At 39.7% G+C, this 20,418-nt stretch overlaps 1 protein-coding gene across 1 annotated transcript in view; it reads left to right on the top strand.

Moving 5' to 3' along the window:
* The window catches only part of USP26 (ubiquitin specific peptidase 26), a 73,942-nt gene that overhangs the window by 8,532 nt on the left and 44,992 nt on the right, over positions 1 to 20,418 (top strand). Inside the window, exon 5 of the mRNA NM_031907.3 lies at positions 4,807 to 4,871. The gene's annotated coding sequence lies outside the window, so the exon portion shown is untranslated. The remainder of the gene's footprint in view (positions 1 to 4,806; positions 4,872 to 20,418) is intronic.

Below are 20,418 nucleotides of genomic sequence, written 5' to 3'. Positions count from 1 at the left end.
CCCTTTAACTCAGGGGTTTCCAAACTCCGGGCCGTGGACTGGTACTGGGCGGTGGCCTGTTAGGAACCGGGCCACACAGTGAGAGGTAAGCAGCCGGGCGAGCAAACATTACCACCTGAGCTCCACCTCCTGTCAGCTCAGCAGCGGTATTAGATTTTCATAGGAGCATGAACCCTATTGTAAACTGCACATGCAAGGGATCTAGGTTGCACACTCCTTATGAGAATCTAATGTCTTATGATCCTGAGGTGGATCCAATTTTATCCCGAAACCATCCCTCCACCCCCGGTCTGTGGAAAATTTGTCTTCCACAAAACTGATCCCTGGTACCAACAAGGTTGGGGACTGCTGCTTTAACTCATCTGGGGTCTACTCTGTCAATGGCTACTAATTGAAAGAAAAAATTTTGAGACAGGGTCTCACTCTGTCACCCAGGCTGGAGTGCAGTGGCATGATCATGGTTCACTGCAGTCTTGAACTCCTGGGCTCAAGCAGTCCTCATGCCTCAGCCCCCTGAGTAGCTAGGACTAGAGGCACTACCACCATGCCCAACTGATTTTTTACTTTTTTTGTTGAAATGGGATGTCCCTATGTTGCCCAGGCTTGTCTGGAACTTCTGGCCTCAAGCAATCCTCTCACCTTAGTCTCACAAAGTTCTGGGATTACAAGTGTGAGCCACCATACCTGGCCTTGAAATTTTCACGTTCTATAAATTCTTGGTGTGACTTCCTCTCTCCACACTCATGTTTTCATGCTTGTTTATATGGGTACAGGAGAGAGATTAAATTATAGCAGAAATTTTAGGGCAAGGCTATTTGGGTTTATAGATCTTTTATGGAGAAAAACATATTTTTCTTAATACTTCATGAAAACGTGCTATACACACAAAGATTAATTTGCTCAAATTTCATTTTCTTTAAAAGTAACCTCAAATTATAATTTTATGTGTTCACAAGGAAAGTCTAGAGACTACAAAAAGTGGTATGCTTTTTGTTTAACAAGTGACTCTCCAAAAGAAGAGAAAAAACCTGATATGTGGCATTTGTCAATTTCTAAGGTGTAAATAATTCCACCATCACCAATTTCAAGTGTTGTCACACTGAATGCAGATTTTGGAAGAGATGTGCACTTACCACCTCATATGAGCCAGCTCTTACACAACACTGAATAAATTAAAAAATTACTGGCAATCAAACTGCATAGAATTATGACCACTGCTAACATTTTAATGTTCTTCTAACTAATCTTTCTATGAAAAATATCCATATTTGTTCTAGTGAGGAGTCTTTATATTGAATTTTAGTAAGTACAGTAAGTCCTCACTTAATGTCTTCAATAAGTTCCAGTGAACTGCAACTTTTGAAGCAAAATGACTTATGACAAAACCAAATTTACCATTGGCTGATTGATATAAGCAAGAGTTAGGTCTCCATGGCGTATATTTCTGGTCATGAAAACATCACCAAACTTCTAAATAAAGACTGAAAACACTTTTACTATTAAACACTGAAATAAAGGTGAGCTATCTATACCTTTAAGAAAGGTTAACAAAAACAAGATACAATAATTACCCAGCTCTTGGTGAATCAGTGAGTCGTGGTGGTCATTGTGGTGGTGGGTTTATTTGTTTTTATTATTGTTACCTTTTTTTTTTTTTTTTTTTTGAGGCAGAGTCTCTCTCTGTCACCGACACTGAAGTGCAGTGGTGTGATCTCGGCTCACTGCAAACTCCGCCTCCCAGATTCAAGCAATTCTCCTGCCTCAGCCTCCCGAGTAGCTAGGATTACAGGCTCCTGCCATGATGCCTGGCTAATTTTTTTGTATTTTTAGTAGAGATGGCGTTTCACCATGTTGGTCAGGCTGGTCTTGAACTCCTGACCTCAAATGATCCGCCCGCCTTGGCCTCCCAAAGTGCTGGGATTACAGGCGTGAGCCACTGCGTCCGGCCTTATTATTATTACTTTTTAAGAGTTGGGGTCTTGCTGTGTCACCCGGGCTGGAGTGCTGTGATGTAAACATGGCTCACTGCAGCCTCAAACTCCTGGGCTCAAGTGATCCTCCCACCTCAGCCTCCAGAGTAGCTGGGACTACAGGTGTGTGCCACCATGCCTGGCTAATTCTTTTTAAAAAATTGTGGAGACAAGGTCTCACCACGTTGCCCAGGCTGGTCTTTAACTCTTGGCATCAAACAACCCTCCCACCTCAGCCTTCCAAAGTGCTAGTTTTACAGGCATGAGCCACCATTCCCAGCCGTGATGGTGGATTTAAATTAAGGAAGAAACATTTGCAAAGTGAAAATTCTAAGAAGTATCTCCTACCACCATGCAGTTCAAAAACAATCACAAATATGGCAAGCTCACTGAGCACTTTAGCACAACGTCATTTATTGTTGTGCATTTGTATGATTATCATAGACTTTCTGAATTTTTATTTTACAATATTTTGTATTCATTCATTGAGTCATTTTCTAACCTACTTACTCTGTTTCAAGCGGTCACAGGTGGCTGGATCTTATCCCAGCAGCTCAGGGTGCAAGGCTGGAACCAACCCTGGGCAGGACATTACATCACCAGGTGCACTCACACACACACCCACGCTGACTCACACTGGGACCATTTAGGCATGCCAGTTAACCCCATCTACACATCTTCTGGATGTGGGAGGAAGTGAGTACCTGGAGAAAACTCATGCAGACTCCACCCAGACAGTAGCCCCAGCCGGGAATTGATTTTTTTTTTTCCTCATCAATTTTATAAGGAAACAATGTTGTAGAAAATGACCTTATTTGAGGACCTGCAGTAAATCTATGCTTTCTCATTCAGATATCTGACTCTAGTCCATGTTACTAGACTCAAATATTATGCATACAATTGGGAAAGACATAAAAATTCAGTGAATTTATTTTAAAGATTCTAGTTTTCGTTGAATCTAATGTTCTGAAAAGCACTGTACAGTGTAGCATTTAACAAGTTGTATGGTTAATGCAGATGTATCATCTGTATGACTTCAGTAGCAGCATATATAGGAGTGGTGAAAAGACCTTGTAGGATCCTTGTAGGAACAGTTGCAGTTCTGTTCATTTGGCTTGATGCAGACCAGTTGTAGGACTGCCCATTGATGTAAACACAAGTGAGAGAGGCTTTCTATGTCCTGTTCATATTTCTATTCTTAGTGTGTGGAATTGGTACTAGGAATAAGCTGCCTCCTAGTGAAGGACCTCAGGTTTAAGTGAGGCATCTATTATTCTAAGTGAAGTAACTCAGGAATGGAAAACCAAACATTGTTCTCATGCATAAGTGGGAGCTAAGCTATGAGGATGCAAAAGCATAAGAATGACGCAATGGGCCAGGCGCAGTGGCTCATGCCTATAATCCCAACACTTTGGGAGGCTGAGGTAGGTGGGTCACCTGAGGTCCTGACCTCAAGTTCAAGACCAGCCTGGCCAACATGGCAAAACCCCGTCTCTGCTAAAAATACAAAAATTAGCCAGGCGTGGTGGTAGTCACCTATAATCCCAGCTACTTGGGAGGCTGAGGCACGAGAATCACTTGGACCTGGGGGGCAGAGGTTGCAGTGAGCCAAGATTGTGCCACTGTATTCCAGCCTGGGTGACAGAGTGAGACTCCGTCTCAAAAGAAAAAGACTGATACAATGGACTTAGGAGACTCAGGAGGAAAGGGTGGGAAGGGGGTGAGGGATAAAAGACTACAAATTGAGTGCAGTGTATACTGCTTAGGAGTTGGGTGCACCCAAATCTCACACATCACCACTAAAGAACTTATTCATGTAACCAAACACCACCCGTTCCCCAATAACCTATGGAAATAAAAAAATTAAAAATAAAGGGGACAAAAGACACTTACACATGTTTGTGTGTAGACACAATTTAAGAAGTTATGGGCCAGGCACGGTGGCTCATGCCTGTAATCCTAGCACTTTGGGAGGCTGAGGCAGGAGAATCGCTTGAACCTGGGAGGCAGAGGTTGCCATGAGCCGAGATCGCACCACTGCACCCCAGCCTGGGCGACAGGGTGAGGTTCCATCTCAAAAAAAAAAAAAAAAAAAGAAGTTCTGCCCCAGGCCAGGCCCGGTGGCTTACGCCTGTAATCCCAGCACTTTGGGCAGCCAAGGCAGGAGGATAGCTTCAGCACAGCAGTTTGAGACCAGCCTGGGCAATGTGGCTAGACCCCATCTCTACAAAAAATTTTAAAAAATTAGCTGGGGGTGGTGTCACGCCTGTAGTCCCAGCAGCTTGGGAGGCTGAGGTGGGAGGATCACTTGAGCCTGGGAGGTTAAGGCTGCAGTAAGCTGTGATCACACCACTGCCCTCCAGCCTGGGTGACAGAGTGACACTAAATAAATAAATAAACAAACAAACTAAATAAATAAATAAGAAGTTGTGCTCAAGGCCTAGAAGAAGCTGATGAGAGTGCTGTACTGTGGCTGGATCAGGCAGAATCTTCAGGCCATTGGAGTGGAGTACTGCATAAGCACTCTGGATAGCCACAAGTACTTCAGGAGAGCCTCATACTGCCAGATTTCTCAAATAGAAGACCTGTGAGCTTTGGCTTGAGCTCTTCTCCCAGAGTCAGGATAGAGGCTCTGCTCTCCTTGCATGGGTCCTTCTGGTGATATAGTGATTGATGACGGGGCAAGGACTTCAGTAGAAGGGACAGGGAAAGATGGGAACTGGAAGCATGGTGGGAAGAGAGCAAGAAGAAGTATTTATAGTACACAAAGGAGTATGTATAAACTGCTGCTTAGAGCAACTTCTTTTTTCCCCTAATTTTGACCTCTTCCCAACAGATTCCCTGTTTCTGCTTTAACCTGGGCTGCTTGCTAAGTGCTTGCCTCTCAGGATCCTTGTGGAGGTAAGGATATATATAAGTCACAGAGGAGAATTATTTTAAAAATATGTATTATTTTGACTCACAAAACAAAATGGATGCAGATGAAGGTTTTCACAGCCTATATGAGTGTTAATTAGAACCAATTAGAGGCCTTGTCCATCAAAGGTGCTTATTTAATTCAAATATGTACACAAAGAAACTGGGCCTTATCAACTAAATCCATAGCTGGCACCAAGCCATCAGGAAACCCACAACCCAACAAGTCCTGTTTCCTTGGATTTTTGATCAAAACGAAGTCACCCTACACGCCTGGTCAGTATAAGCATAGGTCATTTGGGTATTTAAACCCAGTGGATATTTTGATTCCTCTATTAAGCAGAAAACACTGTCCAGCTACCAATTGTCAGCCTCTCTCATTTTTGGCCATTACGTAAACCTGTCCTCCATTTGCACATGTATGTTAGCTTGGAAATATCAAGAGATCACAGAGGGATGTTTATAAAATTCCATAGAAAAATGCTTTAACTATACTGAAGTTTATTGCTATTCCAGAGGAGTTGATAATGACTTGTTTCCCATCTGAGTCTGCTCCTCGCCTCCTCCCCTCCCCTTGAACTTTTACTGGAGTCTAGGAATCAATTTTATCTAATTTCCAAATGTTTCTTGTCCATGGTTTAGCTGGATTCATTATATATATACCCAGAGTAGAAGGTAACTTGGTGCATCTTAATGACATAAATATTGCCCTTACCTTGAAAAGCTTTTTCTCCCTTCTTGCTACCTTATTTTGTCATTGTTAGTAGAATCAAGGGCTGTAATGATTATTTTATTAAAATGAGGGGTTCTCTCATAGTGCATTGACCCTACTGTCTCATTTCATTTTACTTATCACATGCAGGCATTTTTTGAAACTTTTATTTTTCATGGTGTTCTAATGAGTCAGAAGTGATCCCAAAAATCTTATCTCTTGGTCACTGAGAGTCCAGCTCTGGGACTGACATGCATTTCCTGCAGTTTCTCTGTGCAGGGCTCTTCAGAGTAGAGGTTAGCCAGCTACTCATTGGGTATACAAACCAGTTAGGAGCTAGAGGTTTGTGTTTTGTTTTAATTTCTATCAAACTTCTATGAAATGTGTGGAGTTTAGAGACTCAAATATCTCCAGGAGGTTTACTCACAAAAATAATAGTTCCTTAACCTACCATCATTCCTCCATTTCTTAATCACTTTGTTTATCCAGAAGCTACAACATGTGGTTGTGTGATTGTAGAAAAAACTACTGAAAACCGCTCAGAAAAATGTGAGAGCACTAAAAGGCTTTAAGATGTGGTTCTCTGACCACTTTTGTTGTCTGTCTGAGGGGAGAAGAGTTACAGGGGAGAAGTGTTACAGAGGTTGGATCCCCAGAAAACGGGGATCAGGAAACATGGAATAACAAATAAAAATGGTTTCTTACCTTCAAGGACCTACAGTCTAGAGGTAGGGAGAGGGCTGTGAACAGCGGCTTTTTGTAGAGCTGCTTTTGAGGATGACAATAAAGCAAACAGGAAGACAAAGGCCTTTGATGTGAAAGGTGATGTGGGCCATGTATGTTCAAGGCACTGTCTCCTGTCTGCTTCTCCCTTCCTACTTCTCTCTCTGCTTCAACATCTCCCCAACTGGACAAGCAACCCAAGGGATATCACAGGTCTGGGACTTTCGTTATGTGGCCCAAGATACAGCCAGCAAATATGGAAGAACATGTATATATACATAGCTAGAGATAAAACTATGGCATTTTGCAGACACTACTCCTCCCTCTGGCTTTCAGCTTTAGAATGTGGGCATTCAAAAGAAATGTCCAGTACTGTTGCCGCTCAGTTTTTTTTAAACTTTCATGTCTCTTCACACCCTGTGCCTTGTAGTTTGCTTCAACTAATAATAATACCTAAAGATGATTTTTAGTTGGACATTAGATGAATCTTTAAATTTTAGTACCCTTGAAGGCAATCTCAGTTTGAGATGTATCAGTTGCTTTAAATACTTCACTTAAATGTGTGTTACATCTGTGGTCCACTTTTTAAACACTTGGGCAAAAAGCTGGTAGCTCCATGCTCCTAATGCTATCATCTTTCTGTCTGTTATTAAAGTGACATAGCCGGGCATGGTGGCTCATGCCTGTAATCCCAGCACTTTGGGAGGCTGAGGCTTGTGGATCACCTGAGGTCAAGAGTTCAACACCAACCTGACCAACAAGGTGAAACCCCATCTCTACTAAAAATACAAACTTAGCCAGGTGTGGTGGCGCATGCCTGTAATCCCAGCTACTTGGGAGGCTGAGGCTGGAAAATCTCTTGAATCCAGGAGGCGGAGGTTGCAGTGAGTGGAGATCGTGCCACTGCACTCCAGCCTGGAGTGACAGAAAGACTGAGTGCTCTTTATACATGAGAAAAGGATAGTAAGTAGTGTTAATCATCATCTTTTTATCATCTGGAGACTGAGAACAATTTTTTTTATCCCAGAAAAGTATTTTTATTCACCAAAATGCAGGAGATTTGGGCTCCACTGCAGGTGTTTTAACTACGAATTTATTAGTCGTAGCTTCTCAGCCTGCAAAATGATAGCTCAAAGTCTTAGGCATATGAGCTTCATGAGTTCACAGAAAACCAGGAGGAGACAGGCCAAATTAGGCAATATAAAAGGAGTAAAGGGGAAGTGTGTGTGAGCTGGGAAGTACTTTGGGGGCAATTTGATCATCCCATTTGTAAGGGTATCACCGTCTGAGAACCTTTCCCTTCTTATAATTAGTTTATATATTTGATTCATTTCTTTCTAAACACCTTTGCCTCAGTGGAAAATGAGTAGTTCGGAATTGGATTGGATTGCCTCTGTTCAGAACAGCAGGGCATCAAAGAATTACAGAGAAATAAAGGTCCTTGGTAAAATGCTCTAAATAAGTGTAAGGAAGAAGCAGATACCAATGCCCATTTTGAGTATATGAGAGAGTACTACCTTCTTGCAAAGTTGGGATATTGGTGATGGGTGCAGCTCCTTTCCATTTTCGCTGTGAATTCTGCAATTCTGAGCTGGTATAGGTTTTGCTGCTATAGGGTTTGCTGGCCCTGCCTTTTTTGTGGATTTCTTTTGGGCCTGTGAAAAACGGTTCTGGGGAGAGGTGGCATCTTAAACTCCTCACTTAATTGGGGAGTTGTGTTACTTAGAACAGACTTCTAAGTAAGTGATGTTGTTCCAACATAATCCTTGACAGTTTTCCTTCAGCTTTTCCCTATTCCATGTCTTTCTGCTGTGCCTTAATCTGCAGTGGTGGTTGCTGCCTGTAATACTTCAGTTCCCTCTTGTAATCCCTCACTGATTTTCAGGAGGGCTTAGCTGAATTTAAAATTTTAATTCCTTACATTTGTCAGTGTCTTTTTCTGATGTTGGGCTAGTTCTATGTACCAGGTTTCAGTGCCTTCTTTCTTCTGATTCTCCTGGTTTTCTGGTCTAGATCTTTATTTTTTTAAATATGATCTTGTTTGTGAGGCCTAACTATAGTGACACCTCTGAAATGATATGTTTTATGTCTGTTAAAAGCATCCATTCTTCAACTAAATCCTGCTTTCTTTTCATGAACTTCATCAGACTATCCACAGTAAACAAAACCAAGCCTCGTTTTTGTCTGTACTTCTTCCATTTGGCTCTTCTTTATCATGTTTTTATCTTTGATGTGCCTTTCCTCTGGACACTAATTCCATAAATTTTTCTGCCATGTGGCCTTAGGAAACATGTAACTAATATATGTCCACCTACAATAACTGTCACTAGAAAATCATCTAGTAAGTCTTGTTAGTATTTTATACTGATATTTCTGCACTTTCCTTCTCATTCATCTATATTTTTTATCTTAATTTTCAAGAAGTGATTTCCTAATTGCCAGTTTCCCAATTACCGCCACATTTCTTCTGCAGCTCCACCATGTGCTTCTTAATAATTTTCTCTTTCTTGGCTTCTGTAAGAAATGGGAATTGGAGTCACTCCATTCCAATGTTTAAATTCTTGCCTCATTTCAATTGTTAGCTTCTTGGGTACTGGTCATCCTTTGTCATCTTTAACAATTTAAACATCCTTCTGTATCTAAATGCACTCTTGAAGAGAATGGAGGCCTGGGTTTATGTCTTTTCTATTTTTATCTGTCCCTTCTGGTCTTCAAGATCTTTTATTCCCCTGTATGTACAGGTCGACTTCTAAGATCTCATACTTGGTATTAAGAAGTCTCTTATTCTGTTTTCTTCTATTTAAAAAAATTCTTCCACTGCTCATGATCTTTGATTTGGCAGATTACTTAACTCCTCTGAACTTTCGTTTCCTTAACTATAAAATGGAGCTAAGATCTGTTCCAGCTTCTTAAAGGGGCTGTTGTGAGAGTAGAAGGAGTTAGGAGTATTGTTAATTCTGGGTCCTCAAAAATGCCACCGGAATAATCTGTTGCTAAGGCAAAATTGAGTTTATCCTGACTGTGGTGAGGAGGAGCACTACCTTGACAGAGTCTTAATAGCATGATGGAGGGGCATGCACAGTCTGGATATTTATGAGGTTTTGGAGTGTGATTTAAGGTAGCTCTTTGAATGTAGAAGCTTGATCAGGATTGGGTAAGGATCATGATAGAATAGTTTTGATTGGTGGACACAACTAGGGGAAGCTTTTGAGGGAAGAGCTTTGATTTTAATCCTATCATCTGCTGAATGTCTGTTTGCTGTTCATTTGAATATTTCTTCTGGAAGTTTCTGAAATGAACAGTTATTTTCAGGTTCTTTCTTCCTGTGCAAGAATGACCTGGACTAGTAAAGTTATGTTGATGGGTACAGTAGAAGTTTCTGAAATGAACAGTTATTTGCATTTGTTCCTTCCTGTGCAAGAGTTACCTGGACTAGTAAAGTTATGTTGATGGGTATGGTAGAATAATAAAATTATATTACTGAAGACAACCAAAGAGTAGAATCTTGTCCATGCAGACAGTGAGCTGTAAGGAGGTAGATGCTTTTAGTTGTCAGCATACAGAAGCACTTTGTACTTTATGAATGGTTGTGGTAGCATTGATAAGGCAAATGATTTTGCTTGTTGTCGATTTTTATGCCTTTCTACCTAAGTGCAATTATGTTTTCTGCTTAAACTTAGTCGAAAAGAAAATATTTATTCAGGATGACTAAGCTTCTGAAATGTCATTTAACTAACTTTCTTCAATACCTGGGCTCAGCCTAGCTTGAAAAAGTCAAGTGTATATTAACAACAGCGATTGTACATGATTTTCCTCTACTCCTTCAGAAAGTGACTAATCAAGAGAGAGAATGGAGGGCAAGTTCAGAGGGGTTTTCATTAAGGTTAATCCTTAAAAACAAAATAAAATATTTGGGGGCTGTGTTAGTCTATTTTGGGTTGCTACAAAGGGATACGTCAGACTGGGTAGTTTATAAAGTAAAGAGACTTATTTGCACTCAGAGTTCTGCAGGCAAATAGAGGCATGGCACTAGCATCTGCTTGGCTTCTGGTGAGGCCTCAGGAAGCTTACAATCATAGTGGAAGGCAAAGGGGGAGCAGGCGTGTCACATGGCAAGAGCAGGAGCAAGCAAGGGAGGAAGTGGCTGGCTCTTTTTTTGTTTTGTTTTGTTTGAGACAGAGTCTGACTGCCGTTGCCCAAGATGGAGTGCAGTGACATGATCACGACTCACTGCAGCCTCAACTTCCTGGGCTCAGGTGATTCTCCCACCTCAGCCTCTTGAGTTGCTGAGACTACAGGCACACACCACCATGCTTGGCTAATTTTTTTGTATTTTTAGTAGAGGCGAGGTTTCATCATGTTGTCCAGCCTGGTCTAGAACTACTGGTCTCAAGTGATCTGCCCGCCTTGGCCTCTCAAAGTATTGGGGTTACAGGCGTAAGCCACCGCACCCAGCCAAGGTTATTTTAAACAACTAGATCTCACATGAACTCAGAGTGAGAACTCATTTATTACTGCAAGGACCAAAACATTCATGAGGGATCCGCCCCATAATCCAAACACCTTCCACTAGGCCCACCTCCAACATTATCGGTCATATTTCAACATGAGATTTGGAGGGAGCATACATCCAAACTATATTGGGGCAGATATACTCTAACATGCTGAGTGCAACACTAGAAGCAAAACTCATCTGGCCAACCTGAGGCAGCTTTTTGCCTTCTTTGTAGTATATCTGAAAATGAAATCCTGGTGATTCTTTCCTGTCTAGCTTCCATTCTGGTCCTATTGCTGGCTTCACTAGTTAGCTGCAGCTACAAGCTACATAGTATAGATTTTTAAAAAATTCATCATGCTGTATACTGGAGAATGGGTTGCTCAGCTCACAGATTAGGGTAGGTAAAATATAGGAGGATTATATTTAACATTGGGCCAGCAGTTAAAATTTGGTTCTCCCAAGATAAATAGTTACACCAAAGTCAGATAGCTCTAGGCTACACAAACATCAAGTCAATATTATTGATTAGTTCTCTTAACTTAATAGTCAGGTGTGATTTCCTTCTAATGGTTCTGACACTGTTGTAGAAAATAAATGGACACAGGGGAAAGTACATTGTACTTTGGCATATGTTATGGCTTCTTGATAACCTAGAGCTTGTGTATTCGTTTGTTAATTTTGAAGAGCTTTTGAGACTTTGTAGTGAAGAAGGAAATTGCTACAGGAGGCTGTCCCCAGTACTTAGTATTGGTTACTCTTCCAAATGGATGTCTGTATTAGCTATATATTGATTTATAAGAAATTACTTCAAAGCTTAGCTTAAAATAATACACATTTATTATTTCCAAGTTTCTGTGGATGTGGAATATGTGAGTGTGGCTTATCTGAATGGCTTGTAGCACAGGGTCTCCTAGGAAGCTATGATCCAGTTGTTTGCCAGAGCTGTATTATCTGCAGGGAGCACCTTGAGGAAGATCTGCTTCCAAGATCACTCATGTGGCTATTGGCAGGCCTCAGATCCTTACTGGTTGTTGGCTGGAGACATCAGTTCCTTGCCACCTGGGCTTCTCCATTGGACAGCTCCCAACATGGCAGCTAGTTTCTTTCAGAGTGAGTAATAGCAAGAGAAGTCTGTCAAAATGGAAGCCAGTCTTTTTGTAACTCAATCTTGGAAGCAACATCCTGTCCTTTCTACTGTGTTCTCTTTGATAGAAACTAGTCAGTAAGACCAGTCCACCCTCAAGGGGAGGAGATTGCACAAGGGTGTGAATACCAGAACATAAGGACTGTTGGGGGCCATCTTAAAGGCTGCCTTGCATAATTTTTGACCCAGTCCTATAGTTACTTCAAAGGCCCAGCAATCAGCAGTACTCTCTTCTGAGTACCCTGAGTATCATAAGATTGCATAAGATTATGCAATCTTATGAACTCAAAGAGTTAGCCTTTATATGAGTCTGTCACCATTGTGGAAGAGGAAATTTCATAGCATCATAAATTCATTCTGTTTCTTGCTAGATGAAAGGCATCACGTAGTTTAAAGCTCCATAGCATCTAGAGCACCAAGAGAAACCCTTTGATGGTTTTCCCTAGAGACTGCATGTTTGAAAATTTCGTATGAACCAAATAAACTACATTATAGTGAATTTGGTTCTTAATCATATGGAAATTTTTGGTACTGGAAGCTATCAGTTTGGGCTTCTGATGACCTGTTAATCCATCAAGTTGATAAATTCCTGCCTTTCTACCTATTTGTACATATTTATCCTAAACTCTCAGACTTTGGTAATTTAAATAATACTGTAACCCTATTTGCATTGCCTCTGATTTCACAAAGGATTTAATAGACTAATGCAACTCTAAAAAGATGGGATAACGTGTGTAAAGGTACTCAAATAGTCTGGATTTCCTATTAAGCTAGAATAGGATTTTCTCTTCTTCTAATTTCCCTTCACCTGTAGCTATAGGGCTGTGGATAAAATAGCTGTATTTAAAACACAACACCTCTGCATCTCAGCTCTGTTTAATGTTGGTGAACTGTCTGACAACCTGTCTGACATATTTTTTTTTCTTATTTTTTACCTCCTCCTATAACTCTGGGACTTCTTTTTGTTCCATTTGCATGCCAAATACTTTCCGTCTAAGGGCTTTTACTTGTGCTGTTTTCTCTGCCTGGAATGCTGCTCTTAGCGATTCCTGCCCTAATATCTTACCATCTCCCATTGCAGTGTGGTACTAGACCATCAGAGTACAAATCTGTACCATCATGAAATAGGAGAACTGGAGAGAACTTCAGAGTAATTTTCCTATCTCATTTGGTAGATACAAACATTGAAGAAAATAGATTTGCTCAGGAAATAATGCATGACATACTTGAAATAACTCAGGACAAGGCCAGACATTGCAGAAAATGTGAAAACACGTGGCAAAGAAAGAAATTTTCCCTCAGAACCTCACAGTCTAGTTAGAGAGGCAAAAGTAACTTAAATTCACTCTATCTGTATTATGACTTGAAGGAAAGGATACATTGCAGTTTAGGTCGAGAAATCTTAGAAAATCTTAATGGTGGGGTGCAACTTGTTCTAGCTTTGCAAGGATAGAGCGAGAGTAAGAATCAACAGAGGGGAGGGAGAGAGTACTGGAGAAGAAAAAGGTATGTGGTAAGGGTATAAAAGTGGGAGGACACAATAGGAACTGCCGTCTTTAATGCTGAGTTGCTGATTGCAATCTGCTGCTGCAACCAGACTTACATCTTTCCTAAGCACTAATGTCATTTGACCCTGAGTACAGAGGCTTTATTAGATTATTACATCTGTGACACTATAGCTATTAGTCACACTCAGCCATAGGACTTGACAATCTATTGGTTTTCTATTTTTACTTCTGTCCTGGTAATATCCCTGAAGTACTGAAATTATGACCAGAAAATTAATTTCTTTGCATTTGAATGAGAAATAAAAGAACAGCAGAATAATTCTACATTCAGGCTATAAATCTCTAGAGTTGTCAGAAACACTGTGTTAAAAGTTTGGACTAAATTTTGCATTAAGCTTTGCTGCTCCTCTCCAGAGGAACTGATGAGAGAAATACCAGATCATAGCATGTTAATGTAGTTCAAGGCTACTAAACAGATGCATGCACATACATGTACACATGGTTGTAATGTTGATTATTTTGCAAGATCAGGAAAGGAATGGCTGTTTGTTGTGCCACATACAATTTTCTTTCCTGAGTATGCAAATGAGACCAGCTACTTCTTAATCTAAGCTTCTCAGAGTTGTTTTTCTGAGGGATCTGCTTATGTGTGTGCAGTGTGTGTCTGTATGTTTGATTCCTCAACGGAGTATTCAAAGAACTATTCCAGTGCACTCTGGAAGTGAAAAAAGCACAGGGTACATAGAGGTTAAGAAGTTACATACATGTAAAGAAAGGACATCACATCTAATACTGAGAAATGAACACACAGGACCATATATGTTCTCTTTCATATTGAATTCCTGATAAGATGAGCTAGGCCACGTTCAAGGGCTTCCCAGAACTCTTCCCTAATACTTAGTCCACAGTCTGATACTGGCAAAGCCAGAAGGGCTCTTGGGGATCACTTCCCAATGTTTCAGTAAAGAAGTGGCCTTTAGTGGGATAAAGGCCACCCAGATTGTGATTGAGCTGAGACCAAAGTCTTGCCTCCTGCTATATGTTGTTGGTTCCATTCCACTGTGCACCTTCCCTCTCTGGAGAACTCAAAACTCAAACTTCCAGGAAGTTGATAGTTATAAAGGCAGTACATTATCTCTTTTTTTCAGATGGAGGAATGGAACTATAGTGAAATGATTTATCTACAGTCACAAGGCCAGATATGGGACTAGGTCAGGAATCTCGGTGACCATGCTCTGGCCACACCTCTGTTTAATAACTGCATCAATATTTAGGAAGAAATGTCATGCAACTAAGTGGTGAATGTTATTACTTAGACTAACTAATATGTATTGCATGAGACATTTGGTCATTAGAAAGGCTTTGCCATCCTTCTGGAATTCAAAGTCATACAGGGTTTCTTGAATGCTTATTTCCAGAGCTAGACTGGGGTTAGGGTTGAGGTATTAGGGGTAGAAGGGGAGAGTGGTGTGAGCATGCATAGTTGAAGTTAATAGGGGTTTAGCTGTCCAGCAGCTTCTAAGCATATAATAAACGTGCTTTGTAAGAGTGAAATTCATAGGTAGAAAGTAGTAAGCGCTACCTTTGAGGTCTGGACCTGGATCTAAGGCTTTATATCAGCATTCAAGTGTTTCTATAAGGTATAGGCACAAGGGAGTTTCTTAGGCACTTATTTTCTGTGAAGTTGGAGAACTCATTGGGCAAAATAAGAAATAAATAGAACCATTAGATGTCCTTGGAGAAAAGTGGTTTTTTTTTTTTTTTTTTTTTAGTCCCATGAAACAGCTTTGGACAACCGTCATCTCTAGCTCCATGAACTCAGCAAATAAGCATGGAGTTCTATTATATTAATAGAGTAGATTGAGGACATTTAATAACTCATTATTTTGCTTATATATTGAAATGAGTAATGAGAGTGAAGTACAAAGCCAATGTTAACTCTGTGAATGGAGTACTGGTTTTCTACTTAATAAAAGCTACAATTAGTATGAATGTTGTTGTACACTGATTGCCAACTGCCTTGGAGTGCATATCACCCCCGTTTATTGCAATTTCTTTGACATTATTCCATTTGAATTATTTATCCTAGTTTTAAAGGGACTCTACGAAAAAATGCAATAAATGCTTATAATACTTTTTCAGAAAACTGTATTCCAAATCATTTTATAAAGCAGTGTGAAAACAGTAAAACAGTTATGAACCAAGTTGGCTGTCTATTGTTCTGGCTGATTGTCCAATTCAGGCCAGTCTGTGTTCACAGGCTGTCAAGTGCTATGAAAGGGTCTCCTCAAGAGGGTAGGAGGTCAGCCCATGTGACCTATAAGGTTTCTTCCAGCTCTTGAGTATACAATTTGGTGAAAAGCTAAACTGGTGGTAGACAGGATACAAACCATCTGCAAATGTCATTTAAAGTGTTTTGGATTTTTTTTCTTAGAGCTTATAAGGACCAAAATTCTTGCCAAAAGGCACAGCTTATACCTTCCTGTTTATGATAGCCATTATTCATTTGTTCACATGATTTGAAATAATAGTGTTATGTTCAAATGCACAGTGCTATCACTTTAAAATGTAGTAAATTTTTCTTTACATGCCATTTACAGAATGCTCTGTCATACTTAACCATTGTGTTATTGAAGGGTGAAGGCAGTCAAGGACTTTATAGAGGTCCTATATATGTGAATGTATATATTTGAAATGGCTGAGTAGAGAGTTAAAGGATACGTGATAGCGTGCCTGTTTGTGGGTAATACTTTTCCTCATCTGGTGCATTTTCGTGTGCCGTGCATGCGCATGCATACACACATGCACACAGAACAGGGTTATCATAGCAGGTTATACCATCTGTAAGGCCAAGAGTTCTGTTTGTAGGGCTGCATTTTTATTTGTTCTAAAGTAGTGATTCTTAACATTTTCTTTGATCACAGATCAATTTGTTACTCTGTTGACATTGTATATTATCTACTTGGAAAAATAGGCCTTTGCACATAGCCATACACTTTTGTAGTTTTCTAGAGATTCAAGGATTACATTGGGTGCCCAATGTATTACCCAGGGTAGGAATTCCTGTTAATCTTACCTAAGTAGTTATTTCTTTATTGGGTAATAAGATATTTGACTGCCTACCATGTACTGTGGCCCCTGTGCTGGATGTCTTTACTAAGCAGCCAGGTGACCTTGGGGCCAACCCTTTACCTTCCCAGGTTTCCTATGATGTAAAATTAGAGCGTTCCAATGGATGATCCCTAAAGTCCCTTATAATGTTTTATTTACTCAGTCTTATTCTAGGCAATGAAGGGAATGCACAGTCCAAGCATCCAATAAGGTAGGACAGTGCCCAGAACCAGGCAAACGAAATAAACAAAGAGAAAAATGCTCTCACTAGGTAATCTGAAGACCAAACATTTAGGCAAAAAACTGTGTCACATTGGTACAAGTGTACTGCAGCACCAAGCCTGCTTCTATATATGGCATTTGATATTAGAATAATAATTAATTATGTTGTTAATCCTTTTGGACTATTGCATGGTTGTTTTACTTTATTGTTGGGTTGCTTTTAAAGTTTTTTTTTTTAATTGAATCTTTTTCAACCTAATATTTAATGAGTTGAGTTACTGTTTCTGGACTGTAAGAGGTGGGAGGAGATATATCCTGTGTGAGGAAGCTATGAGTGGTATTTCACACAAATCCTTTCAAATAAATCAGATTTAAAGTGTTTATGTTATTATAGGCTGTACTGAAAACATTTCAAAAGCTCTTAGTAAACTTGTCCCTAGGCTGCTTATGTCTGCATTTATTCAGCTTTCAGATGTTCATTTGCTCATGTTGGGGGTGTGTTTGTTTTAGTTTTTATCCAGTACCATTTATTTATGTATTATTATTATTATTATTTTTGTGATGGAGTTTCACTCGTTTCCCAGCCTGGAGTGCAGTGGTGCAATCTCAGCTCACTGCAACATCCGCCTCCTGGGTTCAAGCAATTCTCCTGCCTTAACCTCTCCAGTAGCTAGGACCACAGGGGCGTGCCACCATGCCTGGCTAATTTTTGTATTTTTAATAGAGATGGCGTTTCACCATGTTGGCCAGGCTGGTCCCGAACTCCTGATCTCAGGTGATCCTCCCGCCTCAGCCTCCCAAATTGCTGGGATTACAGGAGTGAGCCACCACACCCGGCCACCATTTAATTTTATAGTCAAGGTTTGTATAACTGAGGCTTCAAGCTGTATCAGGATGTCCAAATAGGTTCATTAATTCTGGAAGATTTTCTCCTAACAAGTAGAAATTCATCAGCATGGAATGATGACATCTTAAACCTATTAAATTGAAAATATCTTTATACTCACCCTGGAGCTTAAATATGTCAGCCAATAATAATTAAATACCACCCAAACACTCACAATTTTCTGAGAAGAGAAAATTAGCTGGTTTTAATATGACTGGAAGATAAATCAGACCATCAACATTCAATCATTCATATGAGAAATTTATATAACTCACATTAAACACATCAGATCAACTGGAAAATTAGAGTAATTAAATGTTAGAGGGGAATGAATTTTGTTAGAAGAGCAACAAAGAATTGACATGCTGAGAGTGCTGCAAAGACCACATCCTAAAGACTCTCGAGAAAATGCAGACATACAAGACTGGAGGGTATCATGAATGAACAGATTCCCTGGAGTTCTTAGGAGTAAACAGGAGGAGTCCAAGGTGTCCAGATTCTTAATAGGTGGATGGCTAGACCTGGAATATAACAGCACACTGGAGAAGAGGACAGAAATACCATAAAGGTTGACTTTACTCCATTTATCTAAATTAAAAGCCTTTTGAAGTTAAAAAAATATAAATGTCTTCAAATGTACAGATGGGTTTCTGATAAAGATCAACAGCCTTCTCTCCAATGTTTCTCTATCCCCTTCTACCCTCTTCATATTTGTTTTAAATTCTTCTGGCTATTTCTCTGTCTCCATATACTAGCTTGACCATTATTTAAATTTTTATCTTAGGAGATCCTCTATCGTCTTTTGCTGTAATAGTTCATGTGCCCTACCCTCATCTTTCCTCTTGTCTCTTCTGCCAAAATGTATGTCACTACTAAGTTCTCTGTTCGTTGCTTCTGCAACTTCAGCCACTGTACTTCAACTTCCATCTCTTCTTGGGTCAAGACTCCATGCTTACAAGGACATTTATTTTGCAATTCTCTCCTTCCTTTCACTTCTGTCCCTTTCACATTCTGCCCTCTGCCCTTTACTTTTACATTTCATGGTTGTCAAGAGCACTCTTTCTTTTTTATGACCCTCTTATTTTGTTGGAGAAAATCATTAAGTAAACTCCTAGGAAACGTGTGTGTGAGGCAGTTTCTGAATTGTTGACTTTTTGAAAATATATTTATTTAGACCTCACATTTGATTGATAGAATTCGAAGTTCAAACCCATAAGCCTATGGTTATTTTCTTTCCTCTGTTTTCTTTTTTCTATCTTTGTGGATCTTTTATTACTCAGATATTGTGTCTCCTGGACCAGTCCTCTGTAATATTTATATTTCTTATATGTGTCTCTTTGACATTTCACCTTTATTTTCTGGGAATACATTCCCAAGATTGTGAGACTCATACTTCACTGGACACCTTTTTTTAGGCTGCAGTGCACTCCCCACCACCTCCATTCCCTGGGTCTTTCTGGGTCCCATTCTTCTCTCTTAAGCTTCTCATTCATAATTGTGACTCCAACCATGATGTTAGTAGACAAAGAAGTTTTTGTTTCTAATCCTTAGATTTGTTCTCTAACAAATAAAAGATATTCGTTTTCCTTTCCTCTCTGTCGTCCTCCTTAATTTCTCATGAAAATGCACCTTCTCCTTCTCTTGGAATGCCATTATGCAATGTAAGGCACAATTAAAGACTTCCTTATAATTGTCAAAATATCACGTAATTGCCTTTCACAATGCCAGACTTGGGCTTTGAGTAGAATTTATCATGTGAACTGTGCTACAACTGATTTTTATACCATTTTCTCTGTAATTGGAGTAAATAAAAGTAGTATAAGGGTCATACATTATTAAATGAGCCATTAAAAAACATCTCGAATAACAAATGGAAGAAGAGGACATGTTACTTGCGTAGGAGTCTCCCTATCAGAAAATTATGAATTTTTAAATCTACAGTAAGCACTCTATTGATATGAGTTAATAATTAGCTCATTCTTAATTAGCGGAACACCTCCAAAATAACCGCCTTGATAATCCAAATTGTTTTTGCTTATTATATATAAAGAAGTAATTTAATTTAAGCACTGCATCTAACTTTACATCTTGAAATATATTGCATTCCTCTTGTTCCACAAGTTCTTTAGAATTTTCCTGCAATGTTGTGTTTTGTGCTGATTGGAATCTCCAGATAATGGACTCATCCAGCCACTTACTTGCTGCAAGATTCCTGGCACACTTAGCTCTAAGCATTTCTCTTGCTGGGTAATTGACCAAAGCCTTCTGCCTACAGGCAATGGGTAAATGAAAAAATTTCCCACCATTACTTAAACTGTCTTGGGATGCTGAAAGCAAGATTGAGAGAAGGGTGAGGCTTCTGATTTTAGAGCTTCGTCTTAGAATTTAGAGCTAGAAAGCACCGCTTATTTTTCAGAGTGTAATACTATTTTATATTTTATTTTTTAACATTTCTTCTTGATATTTTATTTTCTCTTTCCAACTTTTAGGTTCAGGAGGTATATGTGCAGGTTTGTTACATGGGTAAATTGAGTGTTGTGGAGGTTTTGTGTACAGATTACTTAATCATCCAGGTAATTAGCATAGTAATCAATAGGTAGTTTTTTGATCCTCACCCTCCTTCCTCCCTCTACCCTCAAGTAGGCCCTGGTGTCTATTGTTCTCTTCTTTGTGTCCACTGGTATTCAATATTTAACTCCCACTTAAAAGTGAAAATATGCAGTATTGG

Source organism: Homo sapiens, chromosome X, assembly GCF_000001405.40.
Source record: "Homo sapiens chromosome X, GRCh38.p14 Primary Assembly".
NCBI classification, from domain to species: Eukaryota; Metazoa; Chordata; class Mammalia; order Primates; family Hominidae; genus Homo; species Homo sapiens.
Note: the sequence above shows the minus strand (reverse complement) of the source record. Positions and strands in the feature narration are given on the sequence as shown.